The 20944-nt window shown below is 36.7% G+C and overlaps 1 protein-coding gene across 3 annotated transcripts in view; it reads right to left on the reverse strand.

Annotated features, from left to right (window-relative positions):
• Positions 234-20944, reverse strand: part of ADAMTS3 (ADAM metallopeptidase with thrombospondin type 1 motif 3) — a 288253-nt gene continuing 267542 nt past the window's right edge. For all 3 annotated transcript variants that reach the window (NM_014243.3, XM_011532422.4, XM_011532421.2), the window contains exons 18-22: positions 17542-17707; positions 14919-15051; positions 10120-10327; positions 8016-8133; positions 234-2969 (exon numbers count right to left, since the gene is read on the reverse strand). In NM_014243.3, the coding sequence (NP_055058.2) occupies positions 2401-2969; positions 8016-8133; positions 10120-10327; positions 14919-15051; positions 17542-17707 (1194 nt within the window). In that variant the 3' untranslated portion in view covers positions 234-2400. The remainder of the gene's footprint in view (positions 2970-8015; positions 8134-10119; positions 10328-14918; positions 15052-17541; positions 17708-20944) is intronic.

Raw genomic sequence — 20944 nt, forward strand, 5'->3', positions numbered from 1 at the left:
GTTCTATGAGATAGATTTAACCAAAAAGCCACCTCCTGCAACCTCTTTTGTTTTTGTTTTTTAAAAAAATCATTGTAATATACCCTGATGTGAAAACAGGAGACAGTCACTTGAGTCTTTCAAGCAACTACAAGTAGCAAATAAATTTGATGCCATTTTACTGTGTAGGAGGAAATACACGTTTCCATTACCCCATGATGAACCTAATGATAAAATCTAGATAGAGCCAGATGTATATTTTGTTAACATTTTTATTGGTACGTGCTCTCAGTACAACAAACAGCATCAGTAGTGTACACTTTGATAAAAAGGAATTTTTAGCTTAGTAGAAAAGAAAGCCCAAAGGTCAGAAGTATAATGAATATGTACATCTTTATGGAAACTGTTTGTGTGACCATCTTTATCTTCCCCTGTGGATGAGATGTATGCACACACAAGTAAACTAGAGAGAATTTTATTCTATGGGAATTTTTAGGAAAAAAAAAAGACTTAAGGCTTAGGGATTGTTTTACTATCTGGAATTTGCCTAATTTGACCTTCAAAGTTCTTGCACAAAGTAGCAGCAATTCTTTAGAGGTATAGAGTCAATAGTTTAAGCTGTTAGTTTACAACGATTAAAATGCAAAAGTTCTTGCACATTCTGTGCTTTGAGAGGTTAATTCATCTACATTTTAGTTTGTATAATATATTTTTAGACAGCTCAGGTACTGACCTCAAAATCATTATGCTGATATCACTATCTCCTCTCATGTACATGTAATTCATGATGCACTTATCTCTTTCAAAAACTTTTAAAAATGTTTCTAATTCACAATTTCATTGAACAGCTAGCTGAGTCCATACAATTTAATGTTTCCTTGAAGGGAAACAAGTCATCAACTTAATATCAACTACTAAAAATGCAAGATGTTTGCATAACATCAAATTTGTTCAGTTTTAGCTTTTGAGTTGGCTGTAGTAGTTTGCTTAAAGGTCTCTATGCACAGAACAAAGCATGCATCTCTAATTATGTCTCTCTAGTTTACCAAAATATGTAATTGATATTAGTGTAAATATTTAGTACATAAAAATACTATCAAGAAAAAAAATCAACTTTTAATAAATATCTTCAGTTCTGAATTCTATGTACAAGTACTTTACATCTACTCCCTGGAGAGAGCATTTCTGGCTTTGCTGTGAGCAAGGTGACTACTGACATAAATTATTAGCACATTATTGCAGTCAGATGCATTGTGGTTGTGAACATTTGAACATGAACCATATGGAAAATAAATATCTCAACCATCGACATATGCTTTCTTGAACCTGCCTTCAAAGCCCCAAAGCTCTACTATACTCAAATATCAATTCTAGACTGATGATATTTTTCTCAGCTACCAACATACAAATAAGTTATCCCAAAACTTTTTCCTTTGCGATTATTACAGTACATTGAGTATAACTGTTTGTATCTGTCAACAATGCGAAAATTAAAAAAGAACACACACACACAAAAACAAAGGACACCTCAACGGTGCCTACTGAGGTCCTGGAAAGAGGGTTTCAGTTTTGTCTTGCACGAGTTCATTATTTACTATTCGTTGATCCCTGTGACCACAAGTGTACTAAGACACCAATCCTTTAAATTATAAGTATAGAAGGCAATAGGTAAGCTGATATCTGTATATCTATAGCTTTTGTGTTTCTTTTCTTTTTCTATAATTTACGTATCACATTGTTGATTCAACAAAACCCTTTATATTGTCAGTAGCTGTAATTCTAACTTCTCTTTTGTAATACTCTGCTTTGAAAATTAACCTATAGAATGTCAAACAAGGCAATACTCAACGACAGGCACCTAGAACATCCAGAAATGTAATATAGTAAACAATCATTTGAGAACACATCTCTTAAAATAATACTGATTTTTGCAATATACAGTATTTACACAACAGCTGCAAATTTGCTCATACAATATTTCTAATATAGATAAATAGGAATACAAGTCTAAGAATTCTTTGTTCCATATCCAAAATTTCTTGTTAAAGTGTAAACCATTGGTATCTCTTTTTAATTTTTACTGTAACTTTTCTAAAACAAACAAAAAGTCAGCTGATATGCACAATTGGTTCCAGTCCCTTTTCTGCTTCAGAGAGCGACCAACACAATCTTAGCAACATATTTTTCTTTTGTAATAATCTTTGGTGATTTCTTCCAATGAATTCTGGTAAATGAGTCAATGCAGAACAAAAGGAGGATGAAAGCAACTAGAAAGTGAGCCAGCACTTTCTGTTCTTCCAATTACAGATAAAATGAGCTGACGATCTATAGAGATTTCCACTTTAAACAAGCATATGCACCATGGGAAGAGAGAGGTTGTCCAGGTTTTCCTCTGGTTTCTAGCCTTTTTGGTTCACTTTCTCATCTTTCTAAGGTGGATGATCTTGTCGGACGTCTGTTGTCAATGATCTTTCCATCTTTCTTTGAGGTTCTTGCCTGAGAAGAAGCACCTATTGAATCACTGGCTGCAAAGAAGGAAGCAGCAGCCATTTGTGAAGCTGAACTGAGGTGGACCCTCTTGGTGGGTGGGGAGGATGGTACGGTGACCAGTCTCACAGTCTTACTTCCTGCTTGCTGAGCACTCCTCTGGCGTAAATTAGCACCATCAGGTTTACTGTTTGGCCTGAAAGCAGCATATGCATTTGGACCTCCCACTGAAGAGATGCTACTCAAAGACATCTTCTTTGCAGGGGTCTCTGAATGATAAGGAACCAAAGATGTAGGCATCACTAGAGATCTAGGGAGGTCACTAGGGTTAGAGATGACATCATCATGAGTTTCAGCAGCTTCTAGAAGGTATGGTGGTGGCAGGGTGCTACTGCGCTTGCTGCAGGACTCACAACATAACTTGTTATAACCTGGTATGGAGCAGTATCGTGCCAACACTTCCATTTGACAGAATATGGACTTGTCTCCCAAACATGGTTCATCTGCAAAAATAAAAAGAAAATAAACTAACACTAGCATCTAAACATAAAATAAAAGGAGGAAAAAAATTAAAATTTTTAATGAATGTAAAAAGATTTAAGTGCAATCTGACACTAACGGGAGTGATCCACACGAGCTTTTGCATTAAAAATATGAATATTAGAATGAATTCACTAAAATAAGTAGTTCTTTGTCTACAAAGTCCTTGTGATGATCATTATTTTAATATTTCCACCAGGAGTCTTCAGACCACAGAGGGTATTTTTTTCTCCAAGTAGGAACCTATATCTGATTTTAGAATGGGCAAAGATAATTTATTTAACGTTGTGGTTAAATTTTTAGGATGCAAAGGGGCATCTGTATTTTTATTTTATGGTATTTCTGACTTTCTCAGAGGGTACTCCCTACATTACGTTAAAATGTGAAATCAAAATAAATACTAAACACTTGTAAAAACAAAACAAATCTTACAAAGGTATTCTCCAAAGAATAATCAAAATACCATCTTGATTTAAAAAAATTCTCCAGTTTGAGATCGAGACCATCCTGGCTAACACAGTGAAAAGCCGTCTCTACTAAAAATACAAAAAAAATTAGCCAGGCGCGGTGGCAGGCGCCTGTAGTCCCAGCTACTCGTGAGGCTGAGGTAGGAGAGTGGCGTGAACCCAGGAGGTGGAGCTTGCAGTGAGCCAAGATTGTGCCACTGCACTCCAGCCTGGGTGACAGAGCGAGACTCTGTCTCAAAAAAAAAAAAAAAAATTCTCCAGTTTGAATAAAATAGTTTCATGTTTATCATTGAATATTCTCAGATTATTTGTTATTTGAATGCACAAATTTGGGTAAAGTATGCCAAATTTCTTATGAATAATTCATGGTTCTTACATTTAATTTTATTGAATTGACAGTACTTTATGTTTAAAGGATACTTAGTAACACTCATAAAATGTAATTTCATTGAATTGACAGCACTTTGTCTAAAAATTACTAAAGTAATACTCATAAAACACTTGATAACATCTAAAGTAACACTTCTAAAACACTTCATACTGCATGTGTACACATTATTTTTATTACTTTAAAATTTTATTGATTCCAGGTTACAAGAATTGGATTTCAGATAATCCAAATATTAAGCTCATAAAAATGTTAACTTGTGCATAGTTTTAGTCATCCTGGGTATACCTTATGAAATAAAGACATATCCTGTGCCTCTCTGATAACAGAACCAGTGCATAGAGTAGCATCCCTGCATATGTGCAACACAGAAACACTGATCCATGCCCAAAGAAGAAATGCAAAGAACTGTCAATTGTGGCATTTATGTAATAGAATCACTTAAAGTTACAGCCTATTATTGGGTAATACTATACTGCTAAGAAAGAGGCCTGCTACATAACTCCCCAAAAATTGAAAAAATCCTTTTTCTAAAGTTAGAAACAAAAAAAGAGAGAGTCAGCTGGCGAAGCCAATAGAGGACTAAAATTACCAACATTGAGCTGTAATACGATGTCCACTTCCCAAATTGTGAAATGACTCATATATGCTTGACATGTGCAGGTCTATTATATGGTATAATGTGTCTGAATACTTCATATAAGCTAGGTCATCATCTAATTATGTTATGAATGAGCATTATATTAATGAGTTTCACCTTAAATATTTTCTCATGTGTGAATTTTTTTTGAAAACCTGTATCTTAAAATAAGAAAAATGTCTTCTTTCTGTATGTGTCAGGCTCTAGGTCTCAAGAGGAGAGGACATTATTCGATCTTGTCCTCTCTTTTTCCTCTAACCCCTTTCCCTCATCGCCCCTGTTAGGAGGCCCCTCTTAGAAGTACGACCTGTTTTCTCTGAGTTAGAGAAGGAGTCCAACCAAAGGTCTCCCATGTCTAAGTGTGAGCACTTTGGCATTGCAGAGTCCTGTTCATAACCTGGGTTTCATTAGGGCCAGAATTTACTTTTGTGTGGAGGAGCAAAAGGGAGAGATATTCTGAGAAAAATAAGAGCAAAGGAATACATTAACCTTATGGGAATTTGCCTACTGATAAATGAGAAGAGCTTACAGGCAAAAAAAAAAAAAAAAAATGGTACAATCAATCAAAATATGGAGTCACATGAAAAAAATCAATCAATTACAAAAAAATTAAGGCAACTTTTCAGACTTCTCGTTCCACCCCCAAATCATTATAAGAGGTTCTGGAAAAGAGATTCACACATGGTCTCAAAAGGCCATTTGATTCTAATAGCAGTTTGAGATTCTGATAGAAAGTATTACTTATTTTACTTCAAATATGGTAGAAACATGTGACCGTTAGAACTCTTAGGATTGCCCTTTGGGCCTCAATTTTAGAACAACAGAACAACTAAAAGGGATATGAAATCACTATGATAGTTAAGCTATCTTATTAGCTCCCTGGTTTTATATTCAAAACAATTTCTTCTGGCTAAAGAAGGAGAATCAAGAAAATTCTTGCTAACCATTGGGCACGTCTGTAGAAATGCACAGCTGTACCAGCTCCAAGATCAATAAAGCTTACTTACAAAGTGGCAGCCTCTTAACAGGAATAACTACATAAGAATAAAATATTCTGGTGACAGTATATGTTAAAACTTCTGAGTAAAGTTTGTTCTTTTGGTTTTGATTTGTATTTTGAGCTCTTACATATGTCAATACTTTCCAAAGTAAAATGATTAAATATATAAGTCCTATGTCTCCCTCTCATGGTCAGATATGTTCTTGCTATAATATATTTCAGATGAAAATTTATAATGAAGTAATTTATAAGGGTTGAAGACTTAAAGCCTGAAAATGAGCTTCAAAAAATAAAACATTTGACAAGATAGTGCTTTGCCAATTTTCTTGACAAAAAGCACCATTCAGCAGATGTCAATATTCAAACAATGTCTTACTTATGGTGTTGGAGGCCAAGGAAAAAGCAACTTCTTTAGGCCTGAGTCTTCTAATATGTGAAAACAACGTCCACAGTTGTCACTGTCGTGGCTTTAGCAGAACTGCATTTAAGAGAAGGGTTGTGGTGGATGGGGATGGGTGGGCTAGGAAAACAAGGCAGGAGAAGAAAATATAACGGAAGAGAGAGTGCAACAAACAGATGGGGGTGGCGAGAGACTGACTTGGGGAGAGAAAATGAGACAGGAAGAGAAAAAGATGTCAGTGGAGGGGCTAGGAAGAGAAAGATAGGAGGAGAAAGAGACAGACACAAGGAGTAAAAGATGGAGGAGTAGAGAAAAAGAGGCTGGAAGGAGAGGAAAAAGGTGGGTATGGCCTGAATGTGTGCCCCCAAAATTCCTTTGTTGAAACCTAATCCTCACGGCAATGGTACTAACAGGGTGGGGACTTTGGGAGGTGACTAGGCCATCAGGGTGGAGCGCTTATGAATGCAATTCATGCCCTTATAAAAGAGAATCAAGGGAGCTCCCTGGCCCTTTTCACCACATGTGGACAGAAAAACAAGGCACCATCTAGGAAGCCCTCACCAGACACTAAATCTGCTGATGCCTTGATCATGGGCTTCTAGACTTAGAACTCTGAGCAATAATTTTTTTTTAATAAAGTACCCAGTCTCAGGTATTTTGTTATAGCAGCTAGAACAGACTAAGGCAGTGGAGGAGATAAGAGACAGGGAGAGAGAGAGAGGTGGAAGAGATGGAGAGACAGAGACAGACATACCAAGTTGGAGAGGAAGGGGAGGATAAAGAAAGAGAAAGGGAGAGGGTGAAGGGGAGGACACCGAGAAAGAGAAAATGGGAGAGAAAGGGAGACAGACACATGGAACAAGGAAAGAGGGGAAAGAGAGAGCCAGGAAGAGGCAGGAGGAGAGAGAAGATGAGAGGGAAAAAGAATGATAGGAGGTACAGCCAGGGAGACTAGGAGAGGGAGAGGGAAGGACAGCAAGAAGAAAGAGTAAGGCCTCGAAAAAGCATGTGTGGCTGACATAGAAAATGAGCCACATACAGGCAGCAGGTGACAGCTCATCAGAGACAGAGCAAGACAGACACCAAAAATAAGAGAGAGACAGAGGACAGCAAATGGAGACACAGATGACCGAGCACAGGACAGACAGAGATGTGGATAGAGAGCTATGGAAATGGAGGCAGAAGGAGACAGTGATAGAGCCCAAAACCATCCAATATATTTTGCTTGTTTTATTTACTTATGTTTTGAAATGGAGTCTCACTCTGTCACCCAGGCTGGAATGCAGTGGCGTGATCTCAGCTCACTGCAACCTCTGTCTCCTGGGTTCAAGCAATTCTCCTGCCTCTGCCTCCCAAGTAGCTGAAATTACAGGCATGCGCCACCATGCCCAGCTAATTTTTGTATTTTTAGTAGAGACAGGGTTTTACCATGTTGTTCAGGCTGGTCTCGAACTCCTGACCTCAGGTGATTCACCCACCTTGGCCTCCCAAAGTGCTGGGATTACAGGCATGAGCCACCGCACCTGGCCCCATTTTGCTGTTTTAAAATAGCAAATTGACTAAATAAAGAAAATATACTCTGCTTTTGCCATACAGCAAGTTGGCAGGTCAGGCAAATGCTGAATTTTATCCTATGTGCAAGGTGTCTGTTTGAAGTTACTCTATGGACAGACAGTTATTGGAAATGGCTTTAGGGTTGAGTAACATTACCCACAGATCAAAATTGAATAATTTTAGTAAAATATTTCAAAATCTTTGCAAAATTATGCTTTTAATAAAGATGTGAAGTTATAGTTAAATATAACAAGGAAAAATTAAGTGGTTCCTATTAGCAACACAAATTGATAGACGTTACATATACATGGCACAGCCCTCACTCCAATGCCACCAGCCAGAAATGGCAGGGCTATAGTGATCATGATAATTAAAAAGTGTAGGACATTACCTCAAATGCTGATCTTAAAGAACTGAACTGGACTAATATTTCACAGGTGTTTTCCTTTGGTTATTTATCAGTAAACAAATATAAATTCTATAACTTCTCTCAAAAGGAAATTCTGCTTTTTGAGGTTTAAAAACATCAGAGCAGTGAAGTCAATTGGTGTGACACCTACCATTACAAGGAGGCAGTTGACAGGCTCTGACCGACTCAGGCTTTTCACCATCACAGTGGTCCCCAGCCCTGCAGAGGACCTGCCTCACCTCCGTTCCTTCACCGCAGGTCACTGAACACTGCAGAGACAAAGGCTGTGGTTACAGACATTTATTGCACCAAGACCATGCACATACACACACACACACACACACACACACACACACACACACACACACAAAGACACAGAGATCTGGAGTGGGTTCTCTATTAAGTAATGCTGCACAGTGGTTTTGAAGACAGATACTACTGAGTTTATATTCTGACTCCATTATTTACCAGCCTGGGAGCATTGTTTTTTCTACATAAGATTCACCTTCCTTATCTAGTGGAAAGCTGGGATAATAATACCTGTCTTATAAGATTGTTTTAGGACTAAATGAAGGCAAAGGAACAAAGTGTATAAAGCAGTAACAAAATTCCTGACACCTAGTAAGCATATCATATGAAAGAAGCCATGATTAATAACAATGGTAACATCTGCTGTAGTTTCTAAATACAATGTTGATGATGTCTGTTCTCAGGGACCCAATCATAGTATTGACAGTCCTCACTTCTTTCTTACAGATAGCAGAATTTACTGATAAGTTGCCTTGGATGGTTAATTCAACATCCTTGGAACTACTATTTCTCTGTGCTCTTAAGTTCATTTCTCTAATGAAAAGGTTTACTGCTCTAAAACTAAGCTCAGAAAGTTCCATGTAATGGCCCTAGGAAGGTGCTGTGGAGGAGGGACTTCTACTGAGACTTTGATATGTGTTATCATTATCATCCTATGTGGGTGACCTGCACTTGTACTATGGTTTGAATGTCCCCTCCAAAACTCAGGTTGAAATTTAACTGCCATTGTAACAATGTTGAGAGGGACCTTTAAGAGGTGGGACCTTTCTGAGGTGATTTATGGGCATGGGTTAATGCTATTATCTTGGGAATGGGTTAGTTATTGCAGGAATGGGCTACTGATAGAAGGATCCTCTGTGTCTCTCTTGCATGCCTCCTTGCCATGTGATGCCTTCAGCTACAGGAAGACCCTCTCCAGATGCCAGTGCCATACTCTTGGACTCTGCAGCCTCCAGAACCATATGCCAAATAAACTTTTGTTCTTTATAAATTACCCAATCTGTGGAATTCTGTTAAAGCAGCAAGAAATAGATAAGACAACTTGCTTGTTTCTTCCTTTCTGGGCTTATTCTCCACTTACTCTTTAGTCTTCTGTCTGCTTTTTCATGCCCTTTCCTCCTATAAACTATTCTCCTATGACCCCAAGATTTCTTATTTTGAGTCTTTAGAAATATCTAAGACAGGTGGTAATAGCTGACAATGCAACATTGAGTCAGCCAATTAGCAAACAAACATCATCTGGACAGGTATGCTAGGCACTAGCTGAGTGCTGAGGAAACAAGGCATACTATTTTTGAGAAATGTGTGTACTAGTGGCAAATATAGATTCAAGAATCAGAGTTATAATACTCTGTCATGAACAGCATGGTAAAGTTAAGTTGTACTGCATTTCAGATATACAGGAGGAACTGCCAGGAAAGGTACCACCTGGAAGGTGGTCATTTGGACTACGGAGATGAGGTTTGGTGGAGAAGGAGAGATTATCAGGTAGGAGGAGGGGGAGTACAAGTCAGCTGAAAGGTAGGAGGCTCAAACAAGCATGGTCTGTTTGGAACAGTGTGAAGTTTACTCGAACTGGGACAAAGAGTTGGAATGAAGAAAGAATAAGAGGAGTTAGTGCAGTGCCAAATGGTGCTGGGCCCTGCATTCAATATCAGGGGTTTGGAATTTATACTGAAGGAATAGGGAAGTCAACAAAAATATTAGACAAAAGAACAGTCATCTTTCAGACTTCTTCTCTATGTTATGAAACACATAAACATGGTTTGCCCCTAACATGTACTGTCTTAAAGCATTAATTTTTCCTAACACCTCCAGGTAATTACAAAATATGCAGTAGTTTCTCAGTTCACACAAAGCCTAACTGATGTTTAAGCCAAATTAAAATATCTACACATGCTTACACACACACTTTACTTATGCATGCACGGAATTCACACACCTACCTCACTCCAGGGTCCTGTTTTCCACTGTGCAGGGCAGGGCACTCTGTTACAGGGCCGGCGGCTCTCGGGACGGTCACCCATGCAGTATTTGCTGTGCACAGAGCGGTTGGTGCCATCAAGGAGTGGCTGAAGGCAGCGTACAGTGCGAAGCTGATAGCCAGAACTTCCACAGGTTTTGGTGCAGTGTTCCCATTCTTCTGCTACCCAGCTGTGGGTGCGGGGATTTAATATTGCAATTATCACTGGTATGTATAGTGTACACATTTCTACCTGCAAAGCCTAGACTTTTCTGCTCTCTAAGTGACTTGCAACCTAGTGGGCACACTGCAGTTCAGGAAGTGGTTTCAGAAAGATGGATATAATGGATAACTTTTTAACAATAGTAGGCTGAAACTTTTATTTTATTATTATTATACTTTAAGTTTTAGGGTACATGTGCACAATGTGCAGGTTAGTTACATATGTATACATGTGCCATGCTGGTGTGCTGCACCCATTAACTCATCATTTAGCATTAGGTATATCTTCTAATACTATCCCTCCCCCTCCCCCCACCCCACAACAGTCCCCAGAGTGTGATGTTCCCCTTCCTGTGTCCATGTGTTCTCACTGTTCAATTCCCATCTATGAGTGAGAACATGCGGTGTTTCGTTTTTTGTCCTTGCGATAGTTTACTGAGAATGATGATTTCCAATTTCATCCATGTCCCTACAAAGGACATGAACTCATCCTTTTTTATGGCTGCATAGTATTCCATGGTGTATATGTGCCACATTTTCTTAATCCAGTCTATCATTGTTGGACATTTGGGTTGGTTCCAAGTCTTTGCTATTGTGAATAGTGCCGCAATAAACATACGTGTGCATGTGTCTTTATAGAAGCATGATTTATAGTCCTTTGGGTATATACCCAGTAATGGGATGGCTGGGTCAAATGGTATTTCTAGTTCTAGATCCCTGAGGAATCGCCACACTGACTTCCACAATGGTTGAACTAGCTTACAGTCCCACCAACGGTGTAAAAGTTTTCCTATTTCTCAAATAGGATGTGGCTGAAACTTTTAATGCCCTATTTTTTTCTGCCTCTCAGTGACTCTGAAATCTTCTTCTTTCCTAAAGGATGATCTACAGAGGGTTTCTGAAACTCATCTTAAAGTTGCCCTGTTAGATTCAGGCATGAAGGCAGTTTTCAAGGATAGCACCAACTCACTCTCAGTTACATTGCCTAATGGTGTTAAACATCTGACAGTGAATCTTTAAAACAGAATCCATCTAATGGTTGCTAAGACACACTTACGATTTCTTTACATAACCTTCTGTTTTCACTATGGTTTCCTTCTCTCTTGGTCATGTCTATTATACATAGTTAAAAATCTGGTTCACATTCTACAGAGGATACACCTCATGTCTTTTTCTGGGTTGGACGAGGGCACATTTTTATAAAATCTGGAGAGTTCACTCATGTTTAAATATTTTAACTGATATGACTGTTTTATTTCTACAGTTGTTGCTATGAAGGCTACTTGACATATCTATACTGTTTGGATAATGCAGTTCTTCTTATTGGCCCTTACTGGGCCTGACAAGAGGTAAGGGTGGTGTGCATTGGGGCTGGGTAAAAACTGTTCACACAAATGCACCCGATAGAAACATTTCCAGAGGCATTTTCCAAAATATTAACCAGGGGACATTCCCAAATTCTAATGTCAGTGTCAGTGTCCCAAGCACTCTCCAAATCAGCTGTGGATACAACATTACACACAGTTCTCCAGTACACATGGTTACCAAGTCCCAAAGGGTGGTCACCATTGACTCCATCTGGTTATGCAAGCTGTCTGTATGTAATTCAGGCTAAAATGGATTTGCCTTTTCCAAAGTTACTTTCCCTCTGCAATTTATTTTTCTTTCCATATATATGAGGCACCAAAATATAACCATGCTAAAACCTTGGCAGTCTTTGGTATTCACAGTTTAAGACTGCTTTAGCTTGTCAAACTGGTGGTAAAATGAATGTCTCAAGGCAACTGGACTGAGGAATTTTGCTCAATTTTGAAGACTTCAGTGATGACTCTCTTTTGAAGACAAATATTATACTTCACAGATATAGGTACTTCTGATTACCTCCATTCCCTCCTAAGATCTCAGAATGAAAGTAAATGACAAAAATGTTATAAATCTAGAAAGACAAAGAAATTTGAGAGGAAGTCACAGCAACATAATTTTGGAACCTAGAAGACAGATGGACATATGGAAACTAACTCAGCAGATCTAAGAAGAATGAAGTCCAACTCAGCAGTACAAGGTGATGAGCAAACTGACTTGCACTGTAGAACTTTAGAAATATTTAGGGATTAGAGGCCTTAGATTCAGTGTGAGCTGTGAAAACAAGGGTGAAGCCAAGACTGAAAGCAGGATAACTAATGAAAAGTCTGTTTGGAAGCAGTTAGACCTCCTGATTCTTAACCATACAGGGTGATTTGCCCTCCTCCAACGCAGAAGACATGAGGTTTATCCTCTGTAGAATGTGAACCAGACTTAACTGGATACAATAGACATGATCAAGAGAGAAAGAAACCACAGTGAAAACAGAAGGTTACGTAAAAATCCATCTGTGAAATGGTGAGATCGCTTTAGAAACCTATACACATTTCCAGAACAGCCTTTAAACTGGCTTACACTCCCTAGGCAAGAAATTGATTCTGTTCTATGGAATCTTTTTTATAAGAAAAACACTAAATATACAATTAATTGAGGCTCTTTCAATAAAATAGCTGAGTCAGATCACCCTATAGTTGAGCCCACGAGCCACGACTGTAAGGCAAACTTCTAATCAGCCTTCTAAACACTGCATTTTTATACACGTATGAACATCCCAGGATTACCACATAGAAATCCTCTAACATAAATGATGGAGGTGGAGTGGGTGTGGAGAAGTGGAAGAAAAGAACTCAAAAGAAATTACTTAGAAACAGGAAATGAATCCTTGATATTCCAGAAGAGATAAAAGAATACATTGCATCTGTGAAATAAAAATCAAATGCCTTGAAAAAGAAATACTTGAATAGATCTCTTGAATATTAATGATATGATAGCAAAAATGAAAGGTTCGGCAAGTGCAACAATGGACAATAGGAGAGAAAATCCAAGCTACTAATGTCCCAGAAAGAAAGAACACTGAGGAACACGGGAGAATTTTTTTCAAAACAAAAAAAATACAAGAAAATCTTCCAGAGATAAAAGATATACATTTTATTTATTTAAAAGTTTGTGTCATTTGCCACAACATAGATGAAACTGGAGGAAGTTATGCTAAGTGAAATGAATCAGACACAGAAAGACAAATACCATGTGACCTTCACTTGTTTTCTAGATTCCATATGTGGAATCTATAAAAGTGGAACTCACAGAAGTGGAGACTAGAATGGTGGTGATTAGGGGCTTGGGTGAGGGTGAAGGAGTAATGGAAAGATGTTGGTCAAGGGGTACAAAGTTTCAGTTAGAAGAAACATGTTTTTGAGATCTACTGAACAGCATAGTGTCTATGGTTAATAATTATGAAACTGATATTTCAAAATTGCTAGGAGAGCAGATTTGAAATGTGTGTACCACAAAAAATGATAAGTATGTGATGTGATAGATTGGTTAATTAGCTGAGTTTAATCATTCCACAATGTATGCATACATCAAAACATTACATCGTACCCCATAAAAACATACAATTTTTATTTTTCAATTAAAAAACTCTATAAGTACACAGCACAACGATGAGTAAAAATGAGCACCAAGTCAATTTCATCACTGGGATTTCAGGACACTAGGAACAAAATGACGGTCCTACAAACTTTGAAAGACAAAGAGACCAAAACAGGTCATTGAGAAAGAACTGAGAATCAGAATGGCAACTGACTTTTCAACAGCAACACTTGAGTGTAGATAATAATAGAACAGTATTTTTGAGTCTGAGGGATGATATATTATAGTTTGGAGTAACAGTAAATCCCAGAGAAGAGAAACGTAGTAGGAATTCCAAGGAGGATGATGAAAGGAAACCCTAGGATGAAAGCTGGTAAAAAGTCCAAGCTGGAGCTGGAACACAGAGAACTCTCTGTTCTCTAAGACTCTTCCATTTCTATGGAGACTAAAGTGACAGGATACTTGGATGTTTAGTATTTTGAGGGGATTGATACTGAGAAAGAGAGTTTGGGAATGAATTAGGGAAAAGTAGTAGAAGATCAAATACATAAAATCAAAATATTCATTTATTCTGGAAGAAACGTTACAAGAAAGAAACCATAATAATCAATGCATGCTGTGTGACTCAGGTATTAAGAGAGATACATGTTAATACAAACCCTGAATATTGCGATCAGTAAAAGGTATGTTAGGTCAGTAATGGGAGTAGCAGGGAAGGAGAAAGTGTGGCCTCTGGGTGTGCATTTGCGGAGTGGTCATAAAATAATACAATCTTCAGATTTCACAGTGAAAATTCAATGTATAATGTCTAACCCACCTCCCAAAAAAAGTCAAGGAATAGAAGCAAAAACATTTGACTTAGATGGAAGCAAGTAATTACCAAATATCAAAATAAATATAACAGTTGAAAGTGGTTGTTTTTGAGGAACAAGAATGTGGTGAAAGGCACAGAACTGCAGCTTTATATAATTCCTGTGAAGTGACTTGACTATTTAAACCATGTCTATATAGAGCTTTGACTGAAAATAAAATCAAAACTAAAAAGAGCTAAAGGCAGTGAAGTCCTGATTTTGACCTCCAGATATGATAGTTAAAATAGATGCTTACAGTGGATGTGTACACTCTTGAATATTGCACATTCGTCTAATAGGTTTCGGCTTTTTGTTGGCCTCACAGAAGCTGCGATGGACCATTTTATTATCACTTTTCCTACGGCATCCATATTTAGTGTACTGGAAACCTGGAAAAGGAAATAAAGTTCTTTGGATTTAATCACTTCTTCATGCTGATAGTTACTTGATTATTCACTTACTCATTCATACATTTATTCATCCATTCAATAAATATGTATTGAGTGCATACAAACCGGCACTTCAATAGGTGCTGAAGGTCCCAAAGAACATTAAATAAACAAAAACTTTTACCTTTTCAGAGAATACGTTTGATAAATATTGCAACTGCATGCATGTTAAAGAACTAGACTCTAAATATACACAGTCTAGCATGAGAGGTAGATACGAAAACCACTGTGACAATACTTAGTGACATAGGCTTTTAGAAAACTATGTAAATAACTTACAGTAGAGGGCACCAAAGGAACACAGAGGGAAGAGATCTGTAACTTGGAGGGGAGGGGAAAGCTTAGAGGATCAGTACTTTTCTTCAGCAGAATACTGAAGTTCAAATAGTATGGGGTAATGGAAATGAAGCAGAATTATTCTCCAAGCAAAGGAAATAACGTGTGAAAAACTGCGGTTTCTTCATGTGGCTAGAGGATCATGTGTGAAGAGTGCACGAGTTAGGGAAGGATCAGATCTTGAAAGCCTTCAGTGTCTAACAAGTTTCTGGACATTATCCTGAAGGTTATAGGGAGTTACTGAGGGTCTCTCAAACATCAACTTTTATATTTGTAATTATGTATATAAATTTGAAAAAATTCAAACCTATCCAAAAGTTGTAAGAAAAAACAATATTTGTATACCTTGCATCTAGATTGATCTTTTGTGACTATGTCACATTTGCTATATTTCTTTATATATGTGTATGTGTGTAAATATACATATAATTTTGCTGAACCATTTGAAAGTTGAGGACATCCTGATCCTTCACTCCTAAATACTTCAGCACAGATTTCAGAAGTACATTCTCTTATATAACTATAATATAATTCTTAAAATCAGGACATTTAACATAGACATAGTGCTATTATCTAACATACAGACCTATTCAAAAATGTTCAGTTGTCCCTATCATGTTATTTATGGCAATCCTTTTCCAGTCAAGGATCATATGTTGCGTTTAACTGTTATGTCTCCAGCCTCCATCAATCAGAAATAATTACTGAACCTCTTTTTGTCTTACGGCATTTACTAGTTTTGAAATTTAAAAACTATTTGTTTTATAAAATGTTCCGAAATTTGGGCCTGTTTAACTGTGTTCTAATGATGAGATTCAAGGGATTCATTTTTAGAAAGAATGCTACATAAAGTGATGTTGTGTCTTCAGGGCAACATGTTAGAAGACTGAAGGATTTTAATCTGGGAAATAATATAATTTTACCATTCATTCATGCATGCATTCAAGAAAAATTACCCTGTAAATTAAGGAAGAGAAGAACATCAATATTAGTTGACTAGTTAAAAGGCTATTGCAATAATCGTCCCTCCCAAAGTGGTGACTGGAGTCTGGTGAAGAAGGAATAGATGTGGTAGATATGAAGAAGGTATATCTGACAAATATTATGACCAAGTAAATGTTGAGAGTACAGCAGAAGGGAGGGTCCAAATTAAATAAGCATCTTGTAATGGATAAAGAGATGTCATTTAAAATACTTAACTATTGTATTCTTCCCTCAAGAAAACACTTTAGAAATACAGCCTTGAACTTAAAATTATAAAATAAATAATTTACACAAGCACTGCCTAATACAAATTTTGTTCTCAATTATTTGCTGTCATTTTTGTAACAGCCTCTTGCCTTCTCCTGCCCATGGTGGGAAATTGGTAATGGAGCACTTGTTTAGAACTAGAGGAATGGATGATGGGAGAAATTGAGAGACATTAAATCCAGCTTAATGGACTCTGGAGAGGGAACGGAGGCAGCACAGTGCAGTGAGTGAGAGCATGTGTTCAGAAGCCAGGTTATCTGGGTTTGAATCCTATGGGCTCTGGGCAATTATCTTCTGTGTGCTTCAGTTTTGCTACCACTTTAACAGAGATAACAACAGTACCAACTGCGTAGGGCCATTGTGAGTATTCATGCATTGATATATAAAGCATTTAGAACAGTATCTGGTTTCAAATACATAGCATAGTCAGTTACACAGTCATGTAACCAATAGCTCTTTTGTTATTAACTCTGGTAGAAATGCAGAGAGATACAGAAAGCAAAAGTAGGTAAGAAGAAAGATGAGGACCAGAGTACACTGAATTTGGGAGAGTTTTGGAGTTTGGGAAGAATAAAGTGATTAAGGGTACCACTACAGTAAATGCAAGACAAAGGACCTGAGAGAAAAGGGCAAGAGGATTTTAAGGTCTGTCACTGTTATGAAAGGAATCCTATGATTTGGTGATTCTGAGATTTCAGTAAAAATGTTTTGTATTGATGTTTTGATGGTTATGTTTGGTGTTTCTCAGATTGTGGCCTCGATTAGAGACAGCAATAAAGGTAGAAGCAAGATTGGTTTTTATATGCATTACATTTTAATATAATAAATGTGTTCAATGGTTACCTCCACCACAGGGTTTGGAACACTGAGACCAGCTCTTCAAAGCCCACTCAAAAGTATCTAATTCTTCCTGGATGACATTGTTGCTGTTGATTGTAGGTACAGAGTCTTCATGGATGATGTACTTATATGTCAGGCTAGAGCGGGTATCATTTTCTTGAGGTATAATCTAACATACACATGAAATCAATATGTAAATCACCTGAGGGTTTTAAATTTTGAGTGTAAAATTACAAATATTTCAGAATATTGCTCTTATTAAAACTGAAAACTTTCAAATAGTTTCAAAAATTATAATGTTTTTATTTCTATAAACCATAGTGCAAATGTGCCCTGTTTAAGAAAAAGATGAAGTATCTATAAAACTTTTAACATAAAAGTGTTAAAAAATACATACACTGAGGAGTAAGAGTTTGTATTATAAAAATAATAACTTTATAAGGTTCACTGTAGGTTTCCTTAAATTATATCATCTCCTTTTTAAAGGATTTTAACTTTTAAGTGTAAAGAATTATAATTAAAATTAAAGGATTAAAATTTTTAAATTAAAATTTTTAAATTTTTAAATTTTTTGAATTTTTAAATTTAAAAATTTTGGTGCATTTTAAAATTGTCTTCAACGGAAATTGTTGTGTTGTGATGATAAAGATAGTAATGTTCCCTCCAGAAAATATATACATTATGGAAAAATAGAAAGAAAACGAAAAATCATAATTCTACCTAACTAGAGAAAACCAGTCACTTTTATTATTGTGATAGTCCCTCAAGATATTTGCATTCTGTGTGTGTGTGTGTGTGTGTGTGTGTGTGTGTGTGTGTGTGTGTGTACAGACATATTTACTTTCCTGGCTTTGTTTATTTCATGTAACATGCACATTTCTCAAAATATTCTTTGAAAACATGCTTTTGGAGTGTGGAATGATGGTCATTGGAGACTCAGAGGGGTCAGAGGGAATGGAAGGAGGGCTGAATGATGGGAACTTGCTTGGTGGGTACAATGTGCATTGCTCCAGTGATGGATGCACTGAAGGCCCTGACTTTACCACAATGCAAGATATCAATGTAGCTAAATTGCACTTGTACAAAAAAAAGTTAAAAAAAGAAAATATACTTTTAAATGTCAGCATAGTCTGTAATCCTAAAATTGTTATGTATTATTGTTAATAAGTGTGTGGTAACTCTTCAATATTTGTTTTCATTAGAAATTTTCCCAACCTTTGTGGGGATTTCTGGCGTTTCTTAGTAGACTGAAGGGAACAAACACTTTTTATAATTCTAGTTCTTCTGATAGACTGGTGAATGGTCCTCCGGAACAGTTAGAACAATTGTTACTTTAATAATGAGAGTGTATGAAAGTGGCCATTTGACACTACATGTTACATAATTTTCACCTTTATTAATTGGATGGGAAAAATATCATGATTTTAGTTGTTATTTATTTGATAACTAATAAAGTTTAATTTTCCTAAGTTTATTACTCACATATTTTAAACACTGTACATTGCATGACTGTCCTGGTTTTTATTGGAACTGTACACATTTTTTCTCTCCTAATCTGTGCACTAAAGATATGAATTCCTTTTTGTAATATGAGTTGCAAATATTTTCTCAGTTTGTCTCTTGCCTTTTAATTTTGTTCAGGGCAAAGCTGCCTTTAAAAAAATTGATTTTCATGTAGCTTTCATAGGATTTTACTGATTATGCAAAGAGAGAAATGTGCAATTCATTGGTATTCCAAACTAAATTTTTAGAACTACCTTTTGTTTGAGAAATGAGGTGATACTAAAATCAGTGGGGGTAGAGGATCTGGTTATCTGGCTTTTATTCTCTTTTTTCTGTCTTTTTTTTTAAAACAGCATTAAAAATCAAGCACCATTCGAACAACCCTTACACTCTAGCCAGATATCTAATTCTCTTTGCCCCAGACAGCCTAGCCACCATGTTCCAGGACTCAGAATGGAAAAGCAATGTCATAATGATAGAACATTGCTTGTCTACACCCTCATCTCCTAGCTACAAATCTCCCTCTTGTACCTCCAGCCCACACCACTTGCTGTGGTCAGATTATAATCAGTGGGCAAGTCTTGAAGCATCTATCATGATGGTTAAGCATCAGGTCTCTAAAGCCAGATACTCATGTTGCTAGAAAAGAATACAATGTAATTATATCAGCATGAAATACAGCTTCTGGCCTCCAATCATTCATATTTAAAATAAGCTAAATAAAACTTTGATTAACATATATTTTATTATGGAACAGGATGAGAGTCTAGAATAGACCCACATAAATGTGGATAATTAATTTTGACACAATTGAAAGGCATTTTAATAAAGGACAGACTTCTAACAAATAGTGCTAAAACAACTGGACATTGTGATGGTTTAAGAAATGTAGATACATTAGGTAAAAAAGGACTGAGAATTCCGTCTCGGTTTCACTGTCCCATGTTCTCGCTCACTTGAGTCACTTGCTGTAGTGGAAGTCAGTGCCATATTGTGAGGATGTATAAGCATCCTATGGAGAGGCTTAAGTGGTAAAGAATCATGGACTGCTACCCACCACATGGAAAAGCTGGGGAACAATCATCTGAGGCCTTTCAGCACCATGTGACTAAGCTTGGAAGCAGAGTAACCCCCAGTCAAGCTGAGATGACTCTAGCCACAGTTGACAGCAAACTCATCAGATACTCTATGCCAGAACTAGCCAGTTAAGTGGTGTCCAGATACATGTTCCACAGAAACTATAAGTATTGCTTGTGTTCAGCCACTAAGTTTGAGGGTAATTTGTTTTACAACAATAGATAACTAATATAGACATCCATATGCAAAAATAAGGACCTAACACTTCATACAAAATTAACCCCAAGTGATACATATACCTAAATGTAAAATGTATAACTCTAAAACAGTTACCAAAAAAAGTAGGAGAAAATGTTTTGATGCTGGATTAGACAAAAAAAAATTTCATAACACCAAAATCTTTATCCACAAAAGAAAACATTAAAAAATTGGACTTCGATAAAGCTAAAAGATTTTGCTCTATGAAAGAAACTACTAAAAGAATGAAAAGACAACCTATGGACTGGAATAAAACATTTGCAAATCATGTATTTCACAGAGGACTTGAATATACAAAGAGCTCTCGAAACTCAACAAAAAGAAAATATAACAACTTTAACAATGGGCAAAAGATTTGAACAGATATTTCAAAATGGAACTAATTTTCAGAGAAGAAAAACCCTAAAAATTGAGTGGAGCAATTTGACTTAAGTATAATATTTTATAGGAAATCCAATAAATAAAAATTCTGTATAAAACAGAAACTAACAATAAATTTCAAATCAAGTAGCTGTCTTCTGCTTTCATCCATGAGGGAGTAATGGAGTTGCCGTCTTGATATTAAAAG

Source organism: Homo sapiens, chromosome 4 (genome assembly GCF_000001405.40).
Source record: "Homo sapiens chromosome 4, GRCh38.p14 Primary Assembly".
NCBI classification, from domain to species: Eukaryota; Metazoa; Chordata; class Mammalia; order Primates; family Hominidae; genus Homo; species Homo sapiens.